Here is a 27,556-nt window from a genome sequence, read left to right on the forward strand (position 1 = left end):
GGGACTACAGGCATGAGCCACCATGCCGGGTCCATTCAACATTTCTTTGGCTTTTATATACTGTATTTCCATGATGTTCTTCCTACCACAGTGGCTATTATTTTTTCTTAGCTTCTTCTCATTCCCTAGAATTTTCTTTTTTTGACCACAACCTACAATAGAAAATAGATTATTCCTAATATGTTCATAAGTGTACAGATTACATGTGTTAGTCCATTAATACATCTATTTACTTATCATCGATCTCTGAAATAAAATGTTTATGGACTAGTACTTGCCTACTTGCCCTTACTGTATGAGAAGATTCTATTTTTTTCTATTATGTTTCTATAATATACTGCAAATACATTTCCCTTTTCTTTTACTCCCCAAGGTCTCCTATCCAGTCCTAGAGATTTAAATGTCTGCTCTAGCTAATGACTCAAAAATTTGTTTCTCTAACTCTTATGTCTCTCCTGAGACCCAGGCTCAATGCATCAGACTTTTTTTTTTTGAGACGGAGTCTAGCTCTGTCGCCAGGCTGGAGTACATTGGCGCGATCTCGGCTCACTGCAACCTCCACCTCCTGGGTTCAAGGGATTCTTCTGCTTCAGCCTCCCGAGTAGCTGAGATTATAGGCGCCCGCCACCACACCCGGCTGGTTTTTGTATTTTTAGTAGCGATGGGGTTTCACCATGTTGGCCAGGATGGTCTCAATCTCCTGACCTCGTGATCCACCCGCCTCAGCCTCCCAAAGTGCTGGGATTACAGGTGTGACCCACCGTGCCTGGCCCATACTACATGTTTTACTTGTCCATCATCTGTCTCCCACACTAGAGGGTAAGGCCCAATGAGGGCAGGCATTTTGTTTTCTTCACTACTATATCCCTGACACCTACAGAAGTGTCTGGCACATAGTAGACACTCAATAAACATTTGTTCAACAAATGAATAGATGAATGCTGCAGAATACCCAAGCTCCTACAAATGAAACACCTGATATGCCCAATGGAGATCTCAATACAACAGATAAGAGTTTATTTCAATTCTGTTACTCCAGTTCTCCTAGTGGTGAGGGTAGAGGTAGAGAAGCATCATAAGCTTTACAGACCTAAATAGCCACTATATATTTTTAGACATTATTAACCGTGGTAGATGCTCCATCCATTTCTTTCTCTGCTTGCCATTGATAATACATTTAGCTGACTTAATAGTGTGGATTTATATTTTGACTCTGTAAACATTATTCTCTGCTGGTTAAATAGTGTAATATGACCACACTTTCATTTTTACATGGTTCTTCAATTTTTTGAAGTTAATACATAATTGCCTTTTTAGCTTACCTAGTATTACTTTGGTACATTGTTTTTTTGTTTTTGTTTTTGTTTTTGTTTTTTTTGAGAGGGAGTCTCACTCTGTTGCCCAGGCTGGAGTCCAGTGGCGTGATCTCGGCTCACTGCAGCCTCCACCTCCTGGATTCAAGCGATTCTCCTGCCTCAGCCTCCCGAGTAGCTGGGACTACAGGTGCCTGCCACCATGCCCAGCTAATTTTTTGTACTTTTAGTGGAGATGAGGTTTCACCGTGTTAGCCAGGATGGTCTCGATCTGCTGACCTCGTGATCCACCTGCCTCGGCCTCCCAAAGTACTGGGATTATAGGCATGAGCCACGGTGCCTGGCCTACTTTGGTACATTGTTATGTGCCCCCTACCAGATGTTCCACAATCTCTTACACTCATCAGTGGTATTTCCCACGTGTTCAAATGGATTGCTTTTCCCCTCCTTCCCCCACCCAGATCCAGAACCTTCCTTCTTTCTCAACAGCTGTCATTCTGCAGAAAGTTGTACTTTCTCTATTATCCTCTTCTGTACCCTGTTTTCTGGATCTCATGTCATTATCTTTTTCAGTTTCCATTCTTTTTTTGTTGGAGCACATTTTCTAGTAGCTTTCTAGGAAAGAATGCATGAAAAATTTTTTTTTGAGCTAATGCATACCTGAAAATGTCTCTATTTATTTATATTTTACCTTTATACTTGATTGATAATTTGAATAGATTTTGGGGTTATAGATTTTCACCCAAAATTTAAAAATGGTTACCCCATTGATTTCTTGCTTCTAGGTCTGGTATTGAAAAATTTATTGCCTTCTGTTTCCTTGTCATTATACATGACTTGGTTTCTCTTTCAAGATGCTTTTTGGATAGCCTTTTTGTCATTGTATACTGAAATGTCATAATGATGTACCTTTGTGTGTGTCTCTTTCATTTTTCTAGGTCCCTTCAGTTCAGATTTTTTCCTCATTTGTGGAGAAATTTTCTACTAGATTTGTGATCAATTTCCTCCTCTCCATTTTCTTTTTTTTTTTTTTTTCTGTTCTCTCTGAAACTTCTGGTAGTTGTATGCTGGACCTTTTGGGTTGATTCTTTAATTTTATCTTTTTATCTCCTAATTCCCTCCTCCCCCTTTCTTCTGGAGGATGTTTGGGGCTTTATCTTCTGTCTCTTAAATTGAGTTTTTAATTTTAGCTGTCCAGTTTTTAATTTCAGAACTTGGTTGTTCTATGTTTAGCGTTGGACCTGGGCTGATCTGTGACTGTGTGATCAAGTCACACAGCTAGCGTTGCCGCTTGCTAGCTGTGTGGCTTGAGGAATGCAGTCAACCTCTCTTATTTCAGCAAGTAGATAAATTCACAAATAATTCAGGAATACTGAGGTTCGACTTTGTTTCTGCTTATTTATCTTACATTGAGGTACTATAACTGTAATAGAGCTGTTTCTCGCAATACCAGGTTGCAGTGAAGAGGTTCTATGGTAGGGCTTCCGAAGGAGGAGATGGAAGGAAACACCAAATCCATCTTGGAGGGGTTTGGGGCTAGGGTTTAAGGGTTTTGGAGTGGGCCGATTGATTGGTCAAAGAGTGCAGGGGTGAAACCATGGAACAGGGAGATGAAGACACTATTCTCATGCTGATTTGATTCCTCTGTAGGGTGTCTTTAAACTGGTCTTATACTGGTGACAGCTGTTTTACTGTAATTCCAGAACCTGAAAAACATCTTAAGCAATTCTTTTTTTTTTTTTTTTGAGACAGAGTCTCATCTGTCGCCCAGACTGGAGTGGAGTGGCACAATTGCCGCTCACTGCAACTTCCCCCTCCTGGGTTCAAGTGATTCTCCTGCCTCAGCCACCCAAGTAGCTGTATTACAGGCATGCGCCACCACACCCTGCTAATTTTTTGTATTTTTAGTAGAGACAGGGTTTCACTATGTTGGCCAGGCTGGTCTTGAACTCCTGATCTGGTGATCCGCCCACCTCAGCCTCCCAAAGTGCTGGGATTACAGGTGTGAGCCACCACGCCTGGCCTCATCTTTAGCAATTCTTAAAAGCCTTATAATTCTAACTCAAAAATCTTATTTTTAGGAACCATGGAGATGTAAATGGACAGTATCTAGTGTATTGTGACTTTTGGTTACAAGAAAATGGGTCAAAATGCAGCTTGATTAATGCTTAATTATAATTATGTTTCTGTCCAGAATTCTCATTAACCCTGTGAGGATGGCTTCAGTACAGGTGGATATATATGAATTAATTGACTTTTGAAAAATCAATTTTTAAAGATTAAATTTGGTTTTAGAAATTTAAACTATCCTTAGATTAATACAGTTTTATTTAGGATAATGTACACCTTTCAAAGATAGTAGATTGAGGTAAAATGTGTTGATTACAGAAAAGTGTGAACAAATTTTGTAGGTTGTCTAGTTCATTGGTTTTCCTACAATCTGCAAAGATGTGTTAAGAAATCAACTTAGGCACATTAGCATTTTAGAGAGTTTATTTGAGCAAGGGTGATTCATGAACAGGCAGGGCCAAACTGCAAGCAACTGGGTCTCTACTACAGAGGTACAAGGGGGAAAATTTTATAAGGTTCCCACAGAAGCAAGACAAAGAAAATACTTGGTTAAAGTTGAAAGGACCTAGTTAGAGGTTAGATGGTGGTTTCTAATTGGTTAAGCTTGTTTGGCTGTTTACACTGAGTCGGGTGTTAGTTTGCTTGGTGCTGGAACCTAAATGGTGGAACTGTTACCAGCAGCAAATCCAATGGGTCTGCAGCAGACTCCATCCTTGCCCCCCGGAGGAGAGGAGGGAATTTGGCCGGGGAGGCGTAAGGTAGCATGATAGTCCAAGGCAAGTTTTATAGCAGGAGTAAAAGTTTTAGAGCAAGAACAAAAGGAAGCAAAGTGCACTTGAAGAGAGCCAAGCGGGTGACTTGAGAGATCCAATTGCCTTGGTAGGCCCTTGACTTGGGGTTTTATACATTGGCATTGTTCCGGGGTTTCCATTTCTCCTCCTCTGATTTTTCTTTGGGGCGGGCTGTCTGCATGCACAGTGGCCTGCCAGCACTTGGGAGGGGACGCATGTGCAGTGTTTTTACTGAAGTTGTGCACGTGTTCACTGGAGGAGTTTTTCCCTTACCAGTCAAGCCTTCCTAAAGGAAGGTCATATATGAGTTAAATGCCACTATTTTGCCTCTTAGGGTGCATGCTTGAGCCTGCGCACCCAACTCCTGAGATCTTATCAGGAAGTGGCTGATCACCAGCTTCAGGTGTTTCCTATCTATTGGGAGGCCATCGTTCCCTGGCGCCAGCTGCCACTCATTATTATGTTAGAGACACAGCTTAACAACTGCCTCACCATCACCTGATGGTTGCCTGACATTCCTGGTGAGGGGGCCCTCCCCTGCCCTGCTCATGTCTGACTAGCTACCTGCTCCAACATTTCCCCCCCTCAAGAGTCCAAGACCCAATTATCTGGGAAAATGGACGAAGGTCAGTCTTCTTTAACTGCTTCCTGCTGACAGAGGGGCTGTAGTGGTTGTTCTGTGGGTCTTGGCCTCTTGCTAGCTGTCAGGGCAGGATGGCTCTGTGGATTGGCAAAAACCATATCCAGCCAGGTCCACGGGAGACGGGGCAGGATTTCGCCTCTGTCGTGTTCCACTAGCGAGCAGTCTAGGGGTCCTCCTTAGAAGGGTGACTCTTGAATATTGCGAGGATGGCGTCCTGCACTGAGATTCGTCTGGAGCTTTATGGCCTGAAGGCGAGAGGAGACAAATTGGGTTATTAGATTTAGGAGACATGGACCAAAAAGGAGCAAAAGTAGGAGACTAACAAGTGGGCCTGTAAGGGGAAGAACCCAAGAGAACCATTTCCAAGTTCCTTCCCAATTTAACCAACCCTGAGTGGCTCGTTCCCGTAAACTGGAGGCTTGATTTAGGAGTTGTCTGATGTTGTCTTGTACTTTTCCTGATTGATTTACCCAAAAGCAACATTTTTCATCTAAGGCCAAACAAATTCCTCCCTGTGCTGCCGTTAACATGTCTAGTCCTCGACGATTTTGAAGGACTACGGCTGCTAAAGAGTCGATTTGTTCTTGCATGGTCGTTAAGGCTTTAGCCATGGTGTCAATGTTGTTGGCTATTTCCTTTGAGAGCTGGCTATAGGTGAGGGAAGCTTTTGTGATTCCAGCAATTCCGGTTCCCGTACCAGCTAGAATGCCGAGTCCCGCGAGAAGGGGAATGAAATGGATTGCCCTCCTCACCCTGGGCAACGGGGAATTCCCATAGATTGGTATTGGAAGAGAGAGATTGCCAGGGGCTATGAAGATGTCTGGGGTTACATAGCCTATGGTACAAGTTCCAGTCCAGTTACTGGGGAGGCATTGGTGAATCGACTGGCCACAAATATAAAAGGCTCCTTGAGTTTTAAGGCATGTAGAGATATGGAAATGAAATAAGGGGGTGAGGGAGGTTCCAAAAAATTCTGAGACTGCTGATATGCCCAGGTAGCTGGTGGCTATAGTCATGCCTGCTAAGACTTGGACGCAGGGTGTTTGGCTCTGGTTAGCTCCCTTGGTTTTATTTTCCCAAAAAAGAGAATTTCGAGTTTGGTCCAATAGAACCCATTCCGCTGTAGAGCTGAGGTTGGAAATTTGCAGACATTGGTTATAATCAGCAGGCCGGAACCAGAAGTTTCGAGTACTGCATGAGCTTGGGCGTCCCTGGCAAAACCGGCTGGATTTATCTAGCAAAGTTCCCTGAGGAAAAGTAATATTTGGAGGTTTGGGGAATCTTGGTTGATGGCGGAATTGGTTGTGGGTGTATGTTTGGTAAGTCTGTTGGTTAGAATCTACAGTGAAAGTAACATTACAGACTGTACTTGGAAGAGTGCCTACATTTGTTCCATTTTTCCTTTTGGCCATAACACAAATAGGGGCTATTCCCATTAGGTTGATATTAGTAAAGATGGGTCCGAAAATGGGAGGTTTCTGGCGGATATCAGGGAAATCTTGCTTTACTGTTGAAAGAAGACTATTTGCAGGCCTCATCAGTCCTTTCAGATTAGGGTCCCATCGATAGGAAATATGTAATTCCGCCTCTATGCTTGTCCATTCTCTGGGCGAGGCTGGATAAGCTGTCCCTGGTGTTTCAGTGGAAGAGCTAGTACATAACCAGCAATTGGTGGAGTAAGGGGATCCTGTACTTTGGAGCAGTTGCTGAGCTTTTTCCAATAACGGGAAATCAGGATGGCGGTAGGCTGCTAGTGAAGGCGTGAGAATGAGAACCAGCAGGAGCAGGCCCATGGTGACCTAAGAGAAACTGGTCACAAAACGAGCTGCCAATGGAACTCCTGGTGGTGTACAAGTTAGGGTTAAAATAGTGATAACAATCAGAGCAATTGCCAGTAAAATTTCTAGTATTGGGATCACCTTACTTTGAGGTGAAAGGATGTTGGTGGGGCATTACTTATCTTTTTGTTTAAAGAGGAATTTTAGATCTTCCAGTGCCTTGCAAGTGTATTCCGGAGCTGAGGTTGCTGGTTCTGGCTCTGGAGTTTAAGGGCTTTTCCACAGCTTCACTTGGGTGTGATGGATCTAGCTGGCAGTCTCCAGTACTGTAATGGCTGTAGGGGTAGATAATAGAATGGTGAAGGGGCCCTTTCAAATAGGAGTTTGTTGGGAATTTGGGGTTCCATCCTTCCAGGCGTTAATGAGAAGTTGTGAGCCTATGGGGTATAGAGGTGGGGATTTTTCCCCTTCAGATTTCAGGTTTGTTTGTAAACCATATTCCCAGAGAGCCTGTTAGAAGCCTGCTAAAGAAGAAACATAGTGGGTGATTTTAGCAGTTTCTTCATCTAGTAATGACAGAATATAGGAATGGCCTACCATATAAAGCCTTGAAGGGGCTTAATTGCAAGGGAGCCTTAGGGGCAGCAAATCAGAAGGAGGGCTAAAGCTAAGAGGTACACCCATGGCTGTGCTGTTTCCTGGCAGAGTTTGTTGGGGATGTGTTTGAGGGTTTGGTTATTTCCACTTTTCCTGAAGATTACAGTCTCCTGGCAGAGTGAAGCTTTATGTCCAGGGCACTACTAACCTGTTGAGTTAATTGGGAAATGAAGGATGGACCATTGTCATTCTGCAATGACCTGGGTTGGCTGAACTGAGGAATGAGTTCCTTTAGGAGGAATTTAGCTACCTCCTGTGCCTTTTCAGTCCTTGTGAGGCAGGCTTCTACCCATCCTGTGAAGGTGTCTACACAGACCACGAGGTACTTAAACCTGTGGTATGCAGGGAGCTGAGTGAAGTCCATCTGCCAGTCCTCCGCAGGGTATGTACCTCTCCTTTGGATTGGACTTACTGATGGAGAGGGCTTCCCCGTCTGGGGATTATTTATAGTGCACAAAGTGCAGGCTTGACAAACCTGTTGAATAGTTTTATTTAGTCCCTCCCCCACTGAACACTGGTTTACAAATTTGCCTTAGACTGTCTCTTCTAAAGTGGCGGGAGTCCTGTAAACTCTTGATGGTTTCCATTGGTAGGCTTTAGGTAGACGGAGAAGTTCTCCCAACCTATATCATCCATTGGTTTCTTTTCAATACCCATGTTGGGTGGCCCAATCTGTTTCTTCCTTAATGTATTGGAGAGAGAGCAGTTCACTGGGGAGAGAGATGAGCAAGGCCCCCATGAAGGTATCTTTTGAGATGCCTGTCTCTTTAGCTGTTTAGTTAGCTAACCTATTTCCCTATGCAGTTTCATTAGAGCCCCTTTGGTGTCCTTTACTGTGCACTATTGTCACCTCCTGGGGCAAATGAACAGCTTCTAATAGCTCTAAGATTTGAGGCCCATATTTAATTTGAGTATCTGGAGCTGTTAGGTACACCCTCTCCTTCCAGATAGCTGTGTGAGTGTGAAGAACCAGAAACGTGTATTTGGAATTTGTATATACTCCTTTTCTTTCCCCTAGTTTAGGGCTTTCGTCAGCACAGTGAGTTTGGCTAATTGCACAGAGGTCCCCGGGGACAGAGCTTTAACCTCTGTAATTTGTTGAAGGGACATTGTACCATACTCTGCATATCTAGCTCTATCCCTGACAAAGCTATTCCCACCTGAAAACCGTATGTCATGTGGATTATCTAGGAGCTGATCTTTTAAATCTTCCTGGCTGGCATAAATTTGGTTAAGTATCTCACAACACAAATGTGGTGTTATGGTCTCCTGGTAGTGGCAGTAAGGAAACTGAGTTAAGGGTGGAACACTGCTCAACTGTTACCTATGGGTTTTCTAACAACAAGACTTGGTACTTTAGGAGTCTGTTTTCAGACACGTTGTATTCTCTGTCTGCAAGGAAGTTTGGTGTTTGGACTAGATGTTGGATTCCCAGTTCTCTTGTTGGGGAGCAGATTAACAGGTCATCCATGTATTGTAGGAGACACTCTCTCCTCTCAAGACTTAGGTCCTGCAAATCTCTAGCCAGGGCTTGCCCAGACCAATGGGGACTGTCTCTGAAACCCTGTTGAAGCACTGTGCAGGTGAGCTGTTGACTCCTTCCTTTTCATTCTCCCACTCAAATGCAAATAGAAATTGGGAGGATGGGTCGAGGGGGAGATACAAAAGAAAGAGTCTTTAAGGTCTAAGACTGGAAACCACTGAGCATCTGGAGGTTGGGGAAGAATTACATATGAGTTGGGGATCATTGGGTGTATTGGGACTACTGCCTCATTTATGATTCTCAGGTCCTGGACTAGCCTGTATTTTTCATTGCTCTTTTTAACAGGTAAGATGGGGTGTTATAGGGTATTAATAATCCATGTTTTTGAAATTTTTCAGTCAGAAGCTGAAATCCCTCTTTGGCCTCCAGCTGAAGAGGAAACTGCCTTCTACAAGGATAGCTAGAAGGATTCTTGGGCTGAATTACTATAGGCATTGCCATTATGGCCTTTCCTGTTATTCCTGAGGCCCAGACCTCTGGATAAATGGGAAGGTCTGTGAACAGTTCATCCTTGTGTATGGTTTCCTTGAGGCATAAGATTGCATTTGAAAAAGGGGGTGTTGGCCCTGGAGGAAAGGTTAACTGAGCCCCTAGTCTGAGCAAAATATCTCTACCCAAAAGGTATGTAGGGTATTCTGGCATCACTAAAAATGAATGAGAAAAGACGGTTTTCCCCCAGAGACAGCACAGAGGAGGAGTAAACCTCCAGGTTACGGGCACTTCATATCCTCCCAGGAGGATAATTGCCTGGGAAAAGAGGTAAGCATTGAGCAGGCAGCCCTCATGTCCAAAAGAAAACTTACAGTCCTACTGGGCACATCCAAGGCAGCCCTTGGCTCTGTCCCTTCAATAGTGTTATTTAATCCAGGAGCCAAGTGGAGCGTAGGGCCCCCTTCAGCTCAAGGAGCTGAAGGTCATCCAGTTGGGATGTCCTGAGGGCCTTTCAGCTTTCAGGGTAGTCCTGTTTCCCAGTGGCCAAGATTGTGGCAATTGGAGCATGGAGAGCTGGGGGTGGGTGTCCCCATCAGTTTGGGCACTGCCTTCTTGTGTGGCCTGGCTCCCCACAGAAGTAGCATTTGGGCAAAGGGATCTCCCTGGGGCCTGCCAGAGGTGGCTGGCAGGTTTGCAGGGCAGTCAGTAGTTGGAGCTGTTGCTTTTCCTTTTGCCTCTCCTTTTCTTGAGCCCTTTCCTACTCCTCCTGGTTTTGGTTGTAAAAGACCAAGGAACCTACTTTGCAGATGTCAGGCATAGGGGTACTGGGATCCAGTGCTAGTTTCTGGTGTTTCCTCCTAATATCTGGTGTTGTTTGAGTTAGGGAAATGATCCTTTATGAACAGTTGTCCTTCTAGTGGGTCTGGGTCTAGGTTAGTGTGTTTCACTAGGGCCTCTTCTAGCCTGTCTAAGAAAATGGTGAGGTTTTCATAAGGCCCTTGATCTGTCAAGCCCAATTTATTACAGTTCACAGGCTTTGCTCTGCTAGCTTTCATTCCTTCTATCAGATAGAGGAACATGTGGGTCCTTGCTCATGTACTCCCCTGGATATTGTAATCCCAATTGGGGTTGACCTGGGGAACTATGGTGGCCCCCACAGGGTAGCCACCAGTGTCAGGCATGTGCATTGTGTTTGCAAATTGTTGGACCGCCACCATAATGGAGTCACATTCTCCCTTAGGCAGAGTTTGCCCTAGTATGACTGAGAGGTCCCTCCTGGTGAGTTCAGATGTTAAGCCCAGTTTATAAAACACTTTGATATATTTGTCAGGGTCCTCCATAAACTTCCCTAGTTCCATTTTAATTTGGCTCAGGTCTTGCACAGTGAATGGAGTCTGGACTCCAGTGGGTCCACTGGGACCACTAAACCTCCTGAATGGGGCATAACTTAAGGAGGTGGTGTCCAGAGGATGGCCCTGGGTAGGGAGGAGAAGGCTTCTGGGAGACTTCGATATAATTGGGTAGAAGGGGCAATGGGGCTTGAGCTCTGGGTAAACCTGATGAGGGGCCTTCTGAACCAATGGGAAGGGGCTGCATGACTATGGCCATGGATCTGTTTTACAAGCCCAACAAAGGTCAGGGTTGTTTCTTAGGGCCATGAAGGCCAGCACATAGGGGATTTCTGTCCATTTTCCCTGGTGGTAGCAAAACAAATCTAGTTGATGGATCATATTTAAATTTGTGCTTCTATTTTCTGGCCAAGATTCCTGGTCCTAGAGCTTTTATTCAACCCAGGCTGTATTACAGAAAAATATTAGCCTTTTCCTTTTTAGGGTTTGGGAGTCAAACTTTTCCCAGTTCTTGAGGATGTATCCTAGTAGTGTGTCCTGTGGTACAGAGACTTGATTACCTGTCCACAGAGAGAACAGAGGAGAGAAGAGAAAAAGAAGGCAACCCCTCCAATTTCCCTACTGTCTTTTTCCTGAACTTACAGCAGACCAGAGTGGGTAGGGCATTACCCCATTCATCCATTTTTCCTTTGCGTATGGCAGTGTCCCCCATTCATTCTAGGGGTTCCAGAATGAACCAGTGCTTACCAGGTACCCCTAACCTTGGTCCCATCTTGTTTTATTGAGGCACAATTACCCGTTTGTAAAGAAAGAACAGAGGCGAGAAGAGGGCATCTCCCCTTGTTCTCTTAATCCTGTGCCTATGGCAGACTACAGTGAACAGGGTGCCCTCCCACTCATCCAAGGGGTTCTGGAATGAACCCAGTGTTTACTGGGTACCCCTACCCTGATCCCATCCCATTTCTGGACCAGCCTTCATCTGTGTTGCAGTGGTAATCTGTTTTGTGTTTGTAGCCTGGAACTAGTCTTCATCTCTGTTCTATGGGTACTTTGGTCTCTTGCATCTGCCTCCTTGGGCTGTCCTATATCCTTGTCTCCATGACCTTATAGTGACCCTTGTTCAGAGCATTCTAGCAACAGAATGATTATCTCTTCTCAGATTCTCATTTCCCATGTTCTTTAAGAAGACGAGAAGCCTGTTTTTCTGCCAATTGCTGCAAGGGGGCTGGACTTCTCTCCCTTCAAATATAACTTTGAAGGTCCTGATACATATTGAGAAGGGCCTGGAGGTGATTAGAGGAATGGAGGAAAATTTGTATTTGGGATTCTTCATCCTCCCAGGGTAACATGCAGAACAAATGCTTAACGAGGTAGAACAATCCCTCTGCTACAGGAGAAAGCGGGAGGAAGCAAGAGGAATACTCATGGAAAGCCTTCATATGTTTGCAGAAACAGCAGCCCTTGGATTTGAGAGGGCAACGTTTATTTGCCCTCTTGATATAAAGGAGGAACCTCTGGAGGACTTGGTGTTTGGGATAAGACCCTGCAAACGGCAGAGAATTTTCCTTCCCCACAAAGGGGTGCTAACTCAGAAAAAAAGCGAGTGGGTGGGGTCCTTAAGGGCTACAGAGTGAGGTCCTATGCAAGCAAGCAAACCATTCAAAAGCCAGGGAGAAACATGGCCCTGGAGCATAACAGGGATGAAAAGCATATGGTAAGTCATAAGGAGCTGACAGAGCTAAGGTTCTGATTAGTGTCTATCCCGGCAGTGAGCCAACAGACAGGGAAAGGGTTGGAGGTCATCCGAGCTGGTAGGGTAACAAGTATAAATATCAAGGGACATCCGTAAGGGAGTCCATCTCTTGGTTGCCAGGCTAACACAGCAAGAGCTGCGGGTGCATGAATAACAAATAGGGAATGTGTGTTTAAGGCAGAGAAGAAAGTTGCAGGGCATGCAAAGTAAGAACAGAGAAAAGACAGACTTACCCCCAAGGCAGTTGGTCCAATGGGTGTGCGAGGTCATTTTGGAATACATACAGAGAAAGGAAAATAGGTGGTGGTGGGTTTTTGGGAAAGAGCTGATTTTAGTTGAAAAAGCAGAGGAAACCCCAGATACTACATGGTTGTAGGTTTTAGCCCTACCGCTCTCATCAGCCTCCTGTCTGGGGGGGCCATTAGTGTCTCAGGTCTACTTAGTGCAGACTCCAAGGTCCTTCCCACCCCTGCAAGCCATCCTTCGGGGTGAGCAGAGAGAGCAGCCAGGGGGAGCAGAGCCACTGTGGTTGAGAGGAATCGTTCCAGGGGTAGGTTAGTAAGCAGGAGAGTGAAAGAGGAGAACGAAACCACGTACGAGGGTTGAACGCCTCCAGCCGAAGAAGGCAAGGCGTAGAGGTGTCTTACCACTAGGGAAGGTATCCGAGTCACTGCACCATTTGAGAGATCCAAGTGCCCTGTTCAGCCCTTGACTTGGGGTTTTATACATCGGCATGGTTCCGGGGTTTCCATTTCTCCTCCTTGGATTTTTTTCCTTGGGGTGGGCTGTCTGCTGTGCAGTGGCCTGTCAGCACTTGGGAGGAGCCACATGTGCATTTGTTTACTGAAGTTGTGCGCATGCTTTCTTGAGACATTTTTCCCTTATCAGTCAGGTGTTCCTAGAGGAAGGTCACATACTGGTTAAACTGTCATTTTGCTTCTTAGTGCGCATGCTTGAGCCCACTTGCCCAGCTTCGGAGATCTTATCAGGAAGTTGCTGATCACCAGCTTCCGGTGTTTCCTGTCTTTTGGGAGACTGTCTTTCCCTGGTACTGGCTGCAACCCATTATTATTATTTTAGAGAAACAGTGTAACAACCGCCTGATCATCACCTGATGGTCGCCTGACATTCCTGAGCTGGGGGCCCTCTCCTGCCCTGCTCATGTCTGCCTGACTACCTACTCTAACAGAACCAGCTTAACCTAATGGCCTCCTGATAGAACTGCTTGCTTTTTTTTTTTTGGAGACAGCCTCGCTCTGTCTCCCAGGCTGGAGTGCAGTGATGCAATCTTGGCTCACTGCAACCTCCACCTCCCGGGTTCAAGTGATTCTTGTGCCTCAGACTCCTGAATAGCTGGAATTAACAGGTGTGCACCACCATGCCCAGCTAATTTTTGTATTTTTAGTAGAGACAAGATTTCACCATGGTGGCCAGGCTGATCTTGAACTCCTGACCTCAAGTGATCTGCTGTCCTTGGCCTCCCAAAGTGCTGGGATTACAGGCATGAACCACCACACCTGGCCCAAACTGCTTTCCATAAACATAAATTTACCTTTCTAATGTAAATCAAATCACACAACATGCTTTTTGTGTTTGACTTCTTTCTGCTAGCATAATGCTTTTGAAATCTATTTGTGTTGTGTATATCAGTAATACATTCTTTTGTATTGCTGAAAGAGTATTCCATTGTATAGATATACCACAATTTGTTTATCCATTTACTCATTGATGGACATGAGAGTGGTTTCCAGCTTTTGGCTGTTAGTATTATTATTGTTTTATTTATTTATTTTTTTGAGATGGGGTCTTGCTCTGTCGCCCAAGCTGGAGTGCAGTGGTATGATCTTGGCTCACTGCAACCTTTGCCTCCTGGGTTCAAGCAATTCTCCTGCCTCAGCCTCCCAAGTAGCTGGGATTATAGGCACCTGCCACCATGCCTGGCTAATTTATTTTATTTTATTATATATTTTTTTGTATTTTTAGTAGAGACGGGGTTTCACCATGTTGGCCAGGCTGGTTTCGAACTCCTGACCTCAAGTAATCCACCCGCCTGGGCCTCCCAAAGTGTTGGGATTACAGGCGTGAGCCTGTAGTAGTAGTATTAGTAGTTAGTAGTATTATTAACATTCAGTTGCAAATCTTGGTGTAGACATATGTTTTCATTTCTCTTGAGTAACTTCATTTCTCTTGAGAAACTGCCAAACATTTGCATTGCCAGCAGTCATGAGTGAGAATTTGTTACTCCGCATCCATCACCAACATTTGATGGTATTGTCTGTTTTTAATTTAGCCATTCTAGAGGATGGGTATTATGCTTTTGATTTTTGTTTCATTAATGACTAATTATTTTCAGCATCTTTTATGTGTTATTTGCCATTCTTTCTACCTTCTGTGTAAATCATCTTTACAAGTTTTTTCTACTCATTTAAAAAATTGTGTTACTTTTATCAAGTTGTAAACAATTCTTTATTCTGGATACAAGTTTTTTTTGTTTGTTTTTATCAGATATGTTTTGCAAGTATTTTCTTCTATTCTGTAGCTTGCCTTTTTATTTTTATTTTTTTGAGATGGAGTCTTGCTTTGTTGCCCAGGCTGGAGTACAGTGGCACAATCTTGGCTCACTGCAGCCCCCGCCTCCTGGGTTCAAAAGGTTGCCCTGTTTCAGTCTCCCCAGTAGCTGGGAATTACAGGCATGTGCCACCATACCTAGCTAATTTTTGTATTTTTAGTAGAGGCAGGGTTTCACCATGTTGGCCAGGCTGGTTTCGAACTCCTGATCTCAGGTGGTCCACCCATCTCGGCCTCCCAAAGTGCTGGGATTACAGGCATGAGCCACCGCACCCGGCTGCCTTTTTATTTTTAAATGTCATTTGTTTTGTGTTGTTATTGTTTGATAAGTCCTTCTTATCAAGTTTTTAAGGTATGACATATAAAGTTATTCTTTTTGTTTTTTTTTTTTAATTTTTTTGAGACGGAATCTCACTCTGTCGCCCAGGCTGGAGTGCAATGGCGCGGTCTTGGCTCACTGCAACATCTGCCCCCAGGATTCAAGCGATTCTCCTGCCTCAGCCTCCTGAGTAGCTGGGATTACAGGTGCGCGCCACCACGCCTGGCTGATTTTTGTATTTTTAGTAGAGATGGGATTTCACCATGTTGGCCAGGCTTGTCTCAACCTCCTGATCTCAAGTGATCTACCTGCCTCGCCCTCCCAAAGTGTTGGGATTACAGGCAGTTGAAGGTAGTTTTACCTTTTCTTCCCAATGTGTACATTTGTCTTTTAGCTTTTGCCTCATTGCACTGGCTAGGGCCTTATAATGTTGCAAGAAAGGAGTGAGAGCAGACCTTCCTCCCTGATCTTTTGGAGTGAAATATTTAGCCTTTTACCATTAAATAAATTATTAGCTGTGGGATTTTAATAGATATTCTTTATCAAGTTTAGGAAGAAAACTTCCCCTCTGTTTCTACTTTGTGGTGATTTTTCTTTTTTTTTTAAATCAGGAGTGGATATTGGATTTTTTTTTTTAATGATTTTTCTGTATTGAGATGGTCATGCACTTTTTCTCTTTTTTTTTTTTTTTTTTTTTTTTGAGATGGAGTCTCACTCTGTCGCCCAGGCTGGAATGTGGTGGTATGATCTCGGCTCACTGCACCCTCCTCCTCCCAGGCTTAAGTGATTCTCGTGCCTCAGCCTCCTAAGTAGCTGGGATTACAGGCGTGTACCACCACACCCAGCTAATTTTTGTATTTTTTAGTAGAGACGGGGTTTCACCATGTTGATCAGGCTGGTCTCGAACTCTTGACCTCAAGTGATCCACCTACCTTGGCCTCCCAAAGTGTTGGCATTATAGGCATGAGCCACCACGCCCGGCTGTATTTTTTCTCTTTTAAGTCTGTTAATATGGTGGATTTTGTTGCATTTCGAATGTGAAAGTAACCCATTCCTCAGATAAACCTGTTTTGGTCATGACATGTTATCCATTTTCTATACTGTAGCAATTAATTTAGTAAACATTTAAGATTTTTCTCTTTATATTCATGAGAAATACTTGTGGTTTTCTTAAACACCCTTGTCTGGTTTTGTCATCGTGTTAATGCAGACCTTATTACATGAGTTGGGTACTGTTCCTGTCTCTTTGGATTTTTGGAAGCATTTACATACAATTGCTATATTGGTTTTCTATTGCTGCATAACAAATTCCCATAAATTTAGCAGCTTAAGACAACGCACAGTTATTAGATATCAGTTTCTGTGGGTCAGGAGTCTCCACCTGGCTTAGCTGGGTCCTCTGCTCCTAAAGCTGCAGTCAGGGTGTTGGCCTGGCTGCGTTCCTTTCTGGAGCTTGGGTTCCTCCTTCAAGCTTATGTGGTTGTTGGCAGGATTCAGTTCCTTGTGACTGAGGACTCAAGGTGGCTCACCTCTTCATGCCAGTTGAATCTCTGACACCAGGGAGGGTCCCAATCCCTCTTTTAAGGTTTTTACCTAATTGAGTCAGGCCCACCCAAGGTAATTTCACTTTTGAATAACTAAAAATCAACTGATTGAGACCTTAATTATAGTTTCAAAATCCCTTCATCTTTACCAAATAATATAACCTAATAAAGGGATTAACTATCCCATTACCTTTGCCATGTTCTTTCTTTCTTTCTTTTTTCTTTTCTTTTTTTTTTTTTTGAGACAGAGTTTCACTTTTGTTGCCCGGGCTGGGGTGCAATTGCTCAGTCTCGGCTCACTGCAACCTCTGCCTCCTGGGTTCAAGCAATTCTCCTGCCTCAGCCTCCCAAGTAGCTGGGATTACAAGCATGGGCCACCATGCCTGGCTAATTTTTTTGTATTTTTAGTAGAGACAGGGTTTCTCCATGTTGGTCAGGCTGGTCTCGAACTCCCGACCTCAGGTGATCCAACTGCTTCGGCCTCCCAAAGTGCTGGGATTACGGGCGTGAGCCACCATGCCCTGCCGGCCGGCCTTCCTTCCTTCCTCTTTTTTTTTTTTTTTTTTTTTTTTTTTTTGACAGAGTCTCACTCTGTCACTCAGACTGGAGTACAGTGGTGTGATCTCTGCCCACTGCAACCTCCGCCTCCCAGGTTCAAGCGATTCTCGTGCCTCAGCCTCCCAAGTAGCTGGGACTACAGGCATGCAGTACCACACACAGCTAATTTTTGTATTTTTTGCTAGAGATGGGGTTTCCCCATGTTGGCCAGGCTGTTCTCAAACTCTGGGCCTCAGGTGATCCGCCCACCTCAGCTTCCCAAAGTGCTGGGATTATAGGCATGAGCCATTGCTCCTGGCCAGCTTTGCCATGTTCTGTTGGTTAGAAGCAGATCAGTTTCTACCCACATTCAAGAGGAGGAGTCATATAAAGATTACACAAAGGATTGACTCATTGGGATTACTAGAGTGTGTCTGTCACATTTGACATAATTTCTTTGTAAATGTTTGGTAGAATTCATCTGGGCTGGGACTTTTCTTTTTGGAAAGATTTTCAACTACAAATTCTGTTTCTTTATTAGATATTGGACTATTCCACTTACCTGTTTCTTCTTGAATGAGCTTTCAGAGTTTGTGTTTTTCAGGCACTGTGTCTGTTTACTCTGAATTGTATAATTTACAGGGATAAAGTTTATAATATTTCTTAATTAGCCTTTTAACACCTGTAGGATCTGATATTGATTATTTGTGTCCTTTCTTGTTTGTTTGTAATTGGCCTGACTAGAGGTTTATAAATTTTATTGATCTTTTCCAAGAACCACCTTTGGTTTAATTGATTGTTTTCTCCCTATTGCTTGTCCATATTCTGTTTCATTGGTTTATGCGTATATCTATATATCTTTCCTTCTGCTTATTTTGAGTTTAATTTGTACTTCTTTTTCAAGTTTCTTATGGGGAAATCTTGGGTTATTGATTTTAGACTTTTCTTATTTTTAAGAAAATAGACATTTAATGATAATTGTTTCTTTTTTTTTTTTTTTTTTTTTTTTTTTGAGACGTAGTCTTGCTCTGTTGCCAGGCTGGAGTGCAGTGGCGCGATCTCGGCTCACTGCAACCTCCACCTCCCGGGTTCAACTGATTCTCCTGCCTCAGCCTCCTGACTAGCTGGTACCGCAGGTGCCTGCCACCACGCCCGGCTAATTTTTGTATTTTTTTTTTTTTTTTGAGACGGAGTCTCGCTCTGTCGCCCAGGCTGGAGTGCAGTGGCGGGATCTCGGCTCACTGCAAGCTCTGCCTCCCGGGTTCACGCCATTCTCCTGCCTCAGCCTCCCAAGTAGCTGGGACTACAGGCGCCCGCCACTACGCCCGGCTAATTTTTTGTATTTTTTTTTTTTTTTTTTAATAGAGACGGGGTTTCACCAGGTGGCCAGGATGGTCTCAATCTCTTGACCTCGTGATCCGCCTGCCTTGGCCTCCCAAGGTGTTGAGATTACAGTCGTGAGCCACCATGCCTGGCCGACGTTTAATAGTTGTTTGTAAGTATTGATTTTGACGTTTAAATTTTTATTCAATTCAAGATATTTTCTAATTTCACTTGTGATTTCTCCCTTGAACCATGGATTATTTAGAAGTATGTTGTTAAATTTTGAATATTTGTTCTTTTCCAGATATTTCGTTATCAGTTTCTAATTTGACTTTTTTATGGTCACACAATGTATTTTGTATGATAAAATTTAGGAGGGTTTACTCTTACATTTAATGGGACTTATGATACAGAATATGGTCTATCTTTTTTTTTTTTTTTCTTTTTAAGAGAGGGTCTCTCTCTGTCACCCAGGCTGGAGTGCAGTGGCAAGATCTCCGCTCACTGCGACCTCCGCCTCCCGGATTCAAGCGATTCTTGTGCCTCAGCCTTGCAAGTAGCTGGGATTGCATGCCCAACAAATTTTTGTGTTTTCAATAGAGATGGAGTTTCACCATGTTGGCCAGGCTGGTCTCGAACTCCTGACCTCAGGTGACCCGCCCGCCTCGGCCTCCCAAAGTGCTGGGATTACAGGTGCATGCCACCATTCCTGGCCAATTTTTGTATTTTTAGTAGAGATGGGGTTTCGCCATGTTGGCTAGGCTGGTCTCGAACTCCTGACCTCAGGTCATCTGCCCACCTCAGCCTTCTAAAGTGCTGGGTTTAAAGGCATGAACCACCACCTATGGCCAGTATATGGTTTGCCTTTGTGAACGTCCCATATATAATCAAAAGGAATGTTTTTTTCTGCTATTGATTGAAATGTTCTGTACATCTCAGGTCAGTTTGGTTGAGGGTTGTTTGGTACTTTTGTGAAAGGGCACCAGCAGCTTTTGCTATACAGTAGCTACTATGTTATATAGTAGGACTCTTCAGAGCAGACATTGAGCTCTGTAATGAATCAATTGGTCAAATTAATTAAATCTTGATAGTTTTGGGAGTGGGGTTGGGACAGGGAGAATAATAGTTGATTTGTTTTGAGTATCTACTTTGTGCCAGGTGCTACTTTAAGGCATAGTGAACACACTGGAAAACTGATTAAACCATACGTTTCGTTTCCTTAAGAAACTTGTTTCTCATAGGGAAGGTGGTCAGTACTATGCAGGATGAAAGTGAGCATGAGGTGCTAAAGCAATTACCCAAAATAGGTCATATTGAGGTAATAGTATTGTAGAACGATCTAAAAGTTATATATTAATAATACTTAAAATTCTTAGTTACAGTGGTAGTAGTCTCATATCTGTATTCTTTGCCTTAGAGGGGAGGAGGTTGGAGCCTATGAGATGGTAACAGAGCTAATATTTGATGAGTACTTATTATGTTTTAGGCATTCACTTTAGCTTGTTACATGTATTAACTTTTAATTACCACATACCCTTTGAGAATGGGTACTGTTATTCACATTTTATAGAACAGGAAACTGAAGCACATAGAGGTTAACTTGCCGAAGTCGGAAATAAGTTACTGAGTTAGGATTCATGGAAGAACATTGCAGTCTAACATGCCTCTGAGATATAAGAAATTATGGGGACAATCCAGTTGATAGATACAAGGATGTGATCTAGGATAGAGAATGACACTAGGAGTGTAGAGAAGGAAACAGATGTGAGAGGGTTTATTAAAATAGAATCTATAGCACTGGGATAAGATAAAGTGGGAACAAAATGCTGAAGAAGAACTCTTTTCTGCCATAGAGATGGGGAGAGAATGTAGTTCTCCCAAAGAGCTGTTGGATGGAGACAGACAGCAGACACATGCGCGTGCACTCTCTCCTCTCTCTCTTTCTCTCTCTCACTCACTCACTGTTTTTGAGATGTCTTCAAACTAGCCAGGTAGAAATTCCCTCTTGAGGTTCAGGAAAGGTGGAAAGTATGGATGAAAATTTGGTCCTCGGGCCGGGCTCGGTGGCTCACGCCTGTAATCCCAGCACTTTGGGAAGCCGAGACAGGCGAATCACGAGGTCAGGAGATCGAGACCATCCTGGCTAACACGGTGAACCTCCGTCTCTACTAAAAACACAAAAAATTAGCCAGGCGTGGTGGCGGGCCCCTGTTGTCCCAGCTACTCGGGAGGCAGAGGCAGGAGAATGGTGTGAACCCGGGAGGCGGAGCTTGCAGTGAGCCCAGATCGTGCCACTGCACTCCAGCCTGGACGACAGAGCGAGACTCCATCTCCAAAAAAACAGAAAATTTGGTCCTCATCATCTATAATAACGATGATATTTGGATCCATGGCAGTGTTGTGATCACCAGAAGAAGAAGAAGAGAACAGAAAGAGGAGAGAAGAGATTTTAAAAGGTAACTTGAAATGTCTTATGATTATTGGATAGAAAAGCTTTGGATTTGGAGGTACTATGATTCAAATTTGTATTGATTTGATAGTGGTAACTCCAGGGGCTTAATAACTTCTAGCATTGCCTAGTGTGTCATTGAGAAAGGGGTGTGTACAATAGAGGGAGAATTTTAAGAATTAGAAGAGCTTGGCTTACTTGGTTTAGTCTACATTTAGGATTTGGACATACTGTCTCATAGATGAGCCTTTGCTGCCTTCAGAATAAAATGGAAATAAGGTAATAAGATTGAAAATGGAAAAGAGCTTTTTATAAATGTGAAATTGGTAGTGAGCCAGTCAACTAGCTACTTAGATACTATCATGAAGGTGAGATTATATAACTCCACTGGAATGATTCCACAATTTACAAAGATCAGAATTTGTAGTTATACTGCACCTGGGCTTTTGGACTGAAAATACCTTGGGTAGTGTGTCTTAATCGGTTTGGGCTGCTGTAACAGAAATACCATAGACCAGGTGGCTTATAAACAACGGAAGTTTATTTCTCATGGTTCTAGAGGGCTGGGAAATCCAAGATCAAGGTACTGGCAGATTTAATGTCTGGTGAGGGCCTGCTTCCTGGTTCATAGATGTCTGTCTTCTCACTGTGTCCAAACATGGCAGAAGGGGAAGGAGTGAGGGAGCTCTCTGGGGTGTTATTTTAATAAATGCATTAATCCCATTCATGAGGACTCCACCCTATGACCTAATCACCTCCCAGAGGCTCCACCTGCAAATACTGTCACATTGGGGATTAAATTTCAATATATGAATTTTGGGAGCACACAAACATTCAGACTACAGCAAGTAGCAAAATCGTATTCTCATTCTCTAGATAGTGCTTTGTGTTTCAGTCATACTGTCACCATGAAAATCTGAGAAATTTGATACGCTGTTAAGATTCATTGCTCTGTCTTATGTAGCTGGCTGTCTTCCAATGTCATGAGTCACTGTGTGCCTTTATTTTCTTATTTAGAAAATGGGAATAATGATTGCTGGTCTCATTCAGATGGGTCGTGTAAAAGCACAGTGATTGAATGTAAAAGCACTGTGTGAACTGATAACTGTGTAATTGAAGGTGAAATTACACTTCTCCCCTGGGTTTGTGGTGTGTTGATAGTGATGGTTCATCACTCAAGTTCATCTATCACAACCCTTCTGCTGCCAGCATGTTTATCTTACATAGAAAACAATTTACAGTGTGTTTCATGAAATTCATCATTTGAACAAATGCTTAGTTATTGGCACACAGAAGTGAGTGCTCTTTTGCCTATCTCAGAATACACACCCTCTATTGCTGATTAGTTATTCTGGCATACAATGCGATACTGAAGCAAGACATAAACTTCCTTTTAAGCTGAAAAACTGCAAAACCCATCTTAACAATCAGTATATTGTGGACTGTACTTTGCCCCTCACCTCTCCTTTCTTCTTTCACTCTCTACTGTTTCTGTCTTACTAAATCCCAGGACATGGTTCCAGACCCATGCCCATAGAATAAGAGTTAAGAAGTTTCTGATATGTGCACTTTGGGTCTGGGAATTGTATAAGCTATACTTCTGTTAGAAGTCCGCTGTAGGCATGCAGGGTGCAATGGGTAAGTCTTTTTCAGAAGAAGGCTGCCTGGGTTTTAGTGGTTTTACTTCCTTCATTCCCCTGTCCCCCAAAATACATATGCTCACCTGGGAGAAGTTAGTCATTAGGGCCCAGAGTCCGGATTAGGTTGGTCTATATTTATGGTTATACAGGTGCCTCTCCCCCTCCCAACACACACACCTGCATACACACCCCTCTGCTGTTATTTGGTGCTCTCTTACCAATATCATGTAAAGGGTGATGCTTTATTTTCTATTACATAACTTTGCACTTGTCTTCTCTTCCACTCATTGTATAAAAGAGAACGAGTTCTGAATGCATAAGTGCTGTATTAAACATTCTATTAACCAGACATAATACAATTCTACTTGGAGCAAGATACAGTCATTCTTTATGTCCACTTCTGACTATCCATTATGTTGGTCATCATATCCATGGTCCTCCTGCAGCATTGCTCCACTCATCAGCAATGTCTGGCCAGTTTCTTTGTTGCTCCCCTTACATACATACCTACACCGTCTCACTAGTAAATACTGATTTTTGCATTAAGCTGCCTTTTCTCAAGTGGAGTCTTCTCAGGTTCTGTAGTCAACTGTTGTTCTGTCTATCCCCCATGGGCACCCCACTGCTAATCTTTTTCTTCTTTTCCTTGGCCAGTCTCCACAATTCACTGGCAGCAGCACTCATGCTTCTTTTTCACTGCTTTTTGTCTTTTCCAAGGCTGCATGTCCATCGCAATCATTCTAGGGAGCTTAAAAAAAATGAATAAGCACAATCCCTGGAGATTGATTTTGGGATATCTGGGATGAGCTCTTGGCAATCTGTGTTTTCTAAAAACTCCTCAGCAGATTTTGAAGTTCGAATGATCCCTCTTATGAAAGGTGCAGTGTGATAATCACATACCTTTAACTAGAATCGTTCCACTGGATAATAATTCTGAACTTGCCTTACTTTTACAGGTGTTCCTTTCCCTGAAAGGGAAAATATGAATCCTATCCTCTTGTGACCCTACCTTGCTCCGACTTTGAGTGGTTCCTCTGCCCTAGAGGTGGAGGACTTTTTGCAGTGTGGACCAAAAGTCAGGCCTGTGACCTTTTTGCAGTATGGACCAAAGGTCAGGCCTGTGACCTTTTTGCAGTGTGGACCAAAGATCAGGCCTGTGACCTTTTTGCAGTATGGACCAAAGGTCAGGCCTATCTTCTTGTGACCCCACCTTGCCCTGACTAAGTAGTTCCTCTGCTCTAGAGGTGGAGGACTTTTTGCAGTGTGGACCTTTATCAAAGGTCAGGCCTGTGTTTTAAAGGAATTGAGGCAGATTCCAAGAAGATTAAAAGTTTTGGTTAGACATTATCTAACAAAATAATTGCCTGTCTGGGTTTTTTTTTGGGGTGGCTCCTGTGATAGAGGCTGTCCTCCAAGAGCCTATTGTCTAATAAAGGTAGAGGAGATATCATTACTGGGGATCTTTTTCCAGGCTGTTCCCTCTACTCCCCTCTTAAATCTCAAAAAACACCCATGTCAGCTGGGAGTGGCAGCTCACACCTGTAATCCCAGCACCTTGAGAGGCCAAGGCGGGAGAATCACTTGAACCAGGAGTTTGAGACCAGTCTGGGCAACAAAGCAAGACCCTATCTCTACAGTAAATAAATAAAAACATCCATGTCCTCTCAGGGATAGGCCCTATATCCATGTTCACTGTACCTGCTCCTGGGGCTGACACTTGAATTCAGTTTAGGGCAGAGATTCTACGTTGTGTTTTTTCTAGGTTTGTGTTTTAGAAAGCTGGGGGGAGGAGGAGCAATCTACAGAGAGAAGCGTAGAGGAAAATGGAGCCGCTGTGCAGAGAGAAACAGATAATGCTGAGCAAATGACCTCAGTTCACGAGAACCTTCTCCTAGTGCTTGTCCCTCGTAAGGGCGCTTCCTCCCGTGCTCTCTCAGACACCTCTGTAGCTTTTAGTAAATTCCCCTTTTTTTGTTTAAGCTAAGTCTTTGGAATTTTCTAACTTGAACTAAAAGCTGCTTTATTAAAATAACAAGAGATGAACTATGTGTGTGACTTTCTATTTCGTGTTATATTTGTCATAAGATGATTACCAATACCATAGATGAATAGATTTTGAGCCCTATTAGCAGCAAGGAGTGTGGCATACCAGAAGTGTATGACAGAACAGTTTAGTTAAACTGAATAACAATTTGGCCATTAGATGATATGTGCAAAGCATTTTCTTACAGTTCTTATCCCAGAGTTTTAAAAGTTAGCTGTTATTATTTTTATTGTTACATAATAATCATACATATTTATGGAGTATATATGATATTTCAATACATACATATAATTTACCATGATCAAAGCAGGGTATTTAGCATATCCATCACCTCAAACATTTATCATTTCTTTGTGTTGGAAACATTTCAAATCTTCTAGCTATTTTGAAATATACAATACATTATTGTATGTATTTTTTATTTTTGTGGGTACATAGTAGGTACATATATGGGGTACATGAGATATTTTGATACGGGCATGCAATGCATAATAATCACATCAGGATAAATGGGGTATTCACTACCTCAAGCATTTATCCTTTGCATTATAATTCTTTTATTTTCTTTTAGTTATTTTTATAAATGTACAGTAAGTTATTGTTGACTGTAATCACCCTGATGTGCTGTCAAATACTAGATCTTATTCATTCTATCTAAATATGTTTTTGTACCCATTAACCATTCCCACTCCCTGCCCCTTCAGTACCGTTCCCAGCCTCTGGGAGCTATCATTCTACTTTCTATAAGTTCAGTTGTTTTAATTCTTAGCTCCTACAAATAAGTGAGAACACGCAAAGTTTGTCTTTCTGTGCTTGGCTTATTTTATTTAACATCCTCCAGTTTCATCCATGTTATTGCAAGTGACAGGATCTCATTCTTTTCTTTGGCTGAATAGGATTCCATTGTGTGTATGTACCACATTTTTAAAATCCATTTGTCTGTTGATGGACACCTAGGTTGCTTCCAAATCTTGACTATTGTGAATAGTACTGCAGTAAACATGGGAATGTAGGTATCTCTTCAGTATATCGATTTCCTTTTTTTAGGGGGGTAGGTGGGGAAATACCTAGCAGTGGGATTGCTGGATCATATGGTGGTTTTATTTTTAGATTTTTAAAGGAACCTCCGAATTGTTCTCCATAGTGGTGTTACTAATTTATGTACACAGTGTTTCCACCAGCACTGTACAAGGGTTCCTTTTTTCTCCACATTCTCACCAGCAATCGTTATTGTCTATCCTTTGGATAAAAGCCATTTTAACTGGGTGAGATGATATCTCATTGTAGTTTCGTTTTGCATTTCTCTGATGATCAGTGATGTTGAGCACCTTTTTATATACCTTCAGGTGGTTTCTTATCAGTAATGTCCTTTTCTTTCAGGTTGAAGAACTCCTTTTATCACTTGTAGGACAGGTTTGGTGTTGACTAAATCCCCTAGCGGGAAAGTCTTGATTTCTCCTTCATGTTTGAAGGATATTTTTGCTCGATAAACTGTTCTAGGGTAAATTTTTTTCCTTTAGCATTTTAAATATGCCATGCCATGGCCGGGCGTGGTGGCTCACGCCTGTAATCCCAGCATTTTGGGAGGCTGAGGCCAGTGGATCACCTGAGGTCAGGAGTTCGAGACCAGCCTGGCCAACATGGTGAAACCCCATCTCTACTAAAAATACAAAAATCAGCTGGGCATGGTGGTGTGCGCCCGTAAGGCCAGCTACTTCGGAGGCTGAGTCAGGAGAATCACTTGAACCCGGGAGGTGGAGGTTGCAGGGAGGCAGAGGTTGCAGTGAGTCGAGATTGCGCTACTGCACTCCAGTCTGGGCAACAGAGTGAGACTCCATCTTAAAAAAAAAAAAAAAAAAAGGCCTGGTGTGGTGGCTCACGCCTGTAATTCCAGCACTTTGGGAGGCCAAGGCGGGTGGATCCCTTGAAATCAGGAGTTTGAGACCAGCCTGGCCAACATGGTGAAACCCCGTCTCTACTAAAAATACAAAAATTAGCTGGGCATGGTAGTGCACACCTGTAATCTCAGCTACTCGGGAGTCTGAGGCAGGAGAATTGCTTGAACCTGGGAAGTAGAGGTTGCAGTGAGCTGAGATCGTGCCATTGCACTCCAGACTCCAGCCTGGGTGACAGAGCGAGACCCCGTCTCAAAACAAAAGACAAAACAACAACAACAACAACAACAAAATGCCATGCCACCCTCTCCTGACCTGTAAGGTTTCCACTGAGAGATTGATTGCCAGACATGTTCAAGCTTTTGAGTATCTTACTTGTTTCTTTTCTCTTGCTGCTTTTAGGATCCTTTCTTTGTCCCTTACCTTTGGGAGTTTGATCATTAAATGCCTTGAGGAGTCTTCTTTGGGTTAAATCTGCTTGGTGTTCTATAACTTTCTTGTACTTGAGTATTGATACTTTTCTCTACGTTTGAGAAATTCTCTGTTATCTCTTTAAATAAACTTTGTACCCTAATCTCTCTCTCTACCTCCTCTTTAAGGCCTGTAATTCTCAGATTAGCCCTTCTGAGGCTATTCTCTAGATCTTATAGATGTACTTTATTCTTTTTTCTTTTGTCTCCTCTGACTGCATATTTTCATTTATTTTATTTATTTATTTTGAGATGGAGTCTCGCTCTGTTGCCCAGGCTGGAGTGCAGTGGCACCATCTCGGCTCACCACAACCTCCGCCTCCCGGGTTCAAGCAATTCTCCTGCCTCAGCCTCCCGAGTATCTGGGACTACAGGTGCGTGCCACCACACCCAGCTAATTTTTGTATTTTTAGTAGGGGCGGGATTTCACTATGTTGG

General features: G+C 43.2%; 2 protein-coding genes across 2 annotated transcripts in view; one reads left to right on the top strand and one right to left on the bottom strand.

Annotated features, from left to right (window-relative positions):
• Window positions 1-27,556, top strand: part of SMIM13 (small integral membrane protein 13) — a 44,900-nt gene that overhangs the window by 4,867 nt on the left and 12,477 nt on the right. The gene's annotated exons all lie outside the window — the stretch shown is intronic.
• Window positions 3,789-13,025, bottom strand: ERVFRD-1 (endogenous retrovirus group FRD member 1, envelope). The gene is made up of 2 exons (NM_207582.3): window positions 12,977-13,025; window positions 3,789-6,930 (listed from the first exon to the last, which is right to left on the bottom strand). The coding sequence occupies exon 2, from the start codon at window positions 6,608-6,610 to the stop codon at window positions 4,994-4,996; it is 1,617 nt and encodes a 538-aa protein (NP_997465.1). The 5' UTR covers window positions 6,611-6,930; window positions 12,977-13,025; the 3' UTR covers window positions 3,789-4,993.

Source organism: Homo sapiens, chromosome 6, assembly GCF_000001405.40.
Source record: "Homo sapiens chromosome 6, GRCh38.p14 Primary Assembly".
Taxonomy (NCBI): Eukaryota; Metazoa; Chordata; class Mammalia; order Primates; family Hominidae; genus Homo; species Homo sapiens.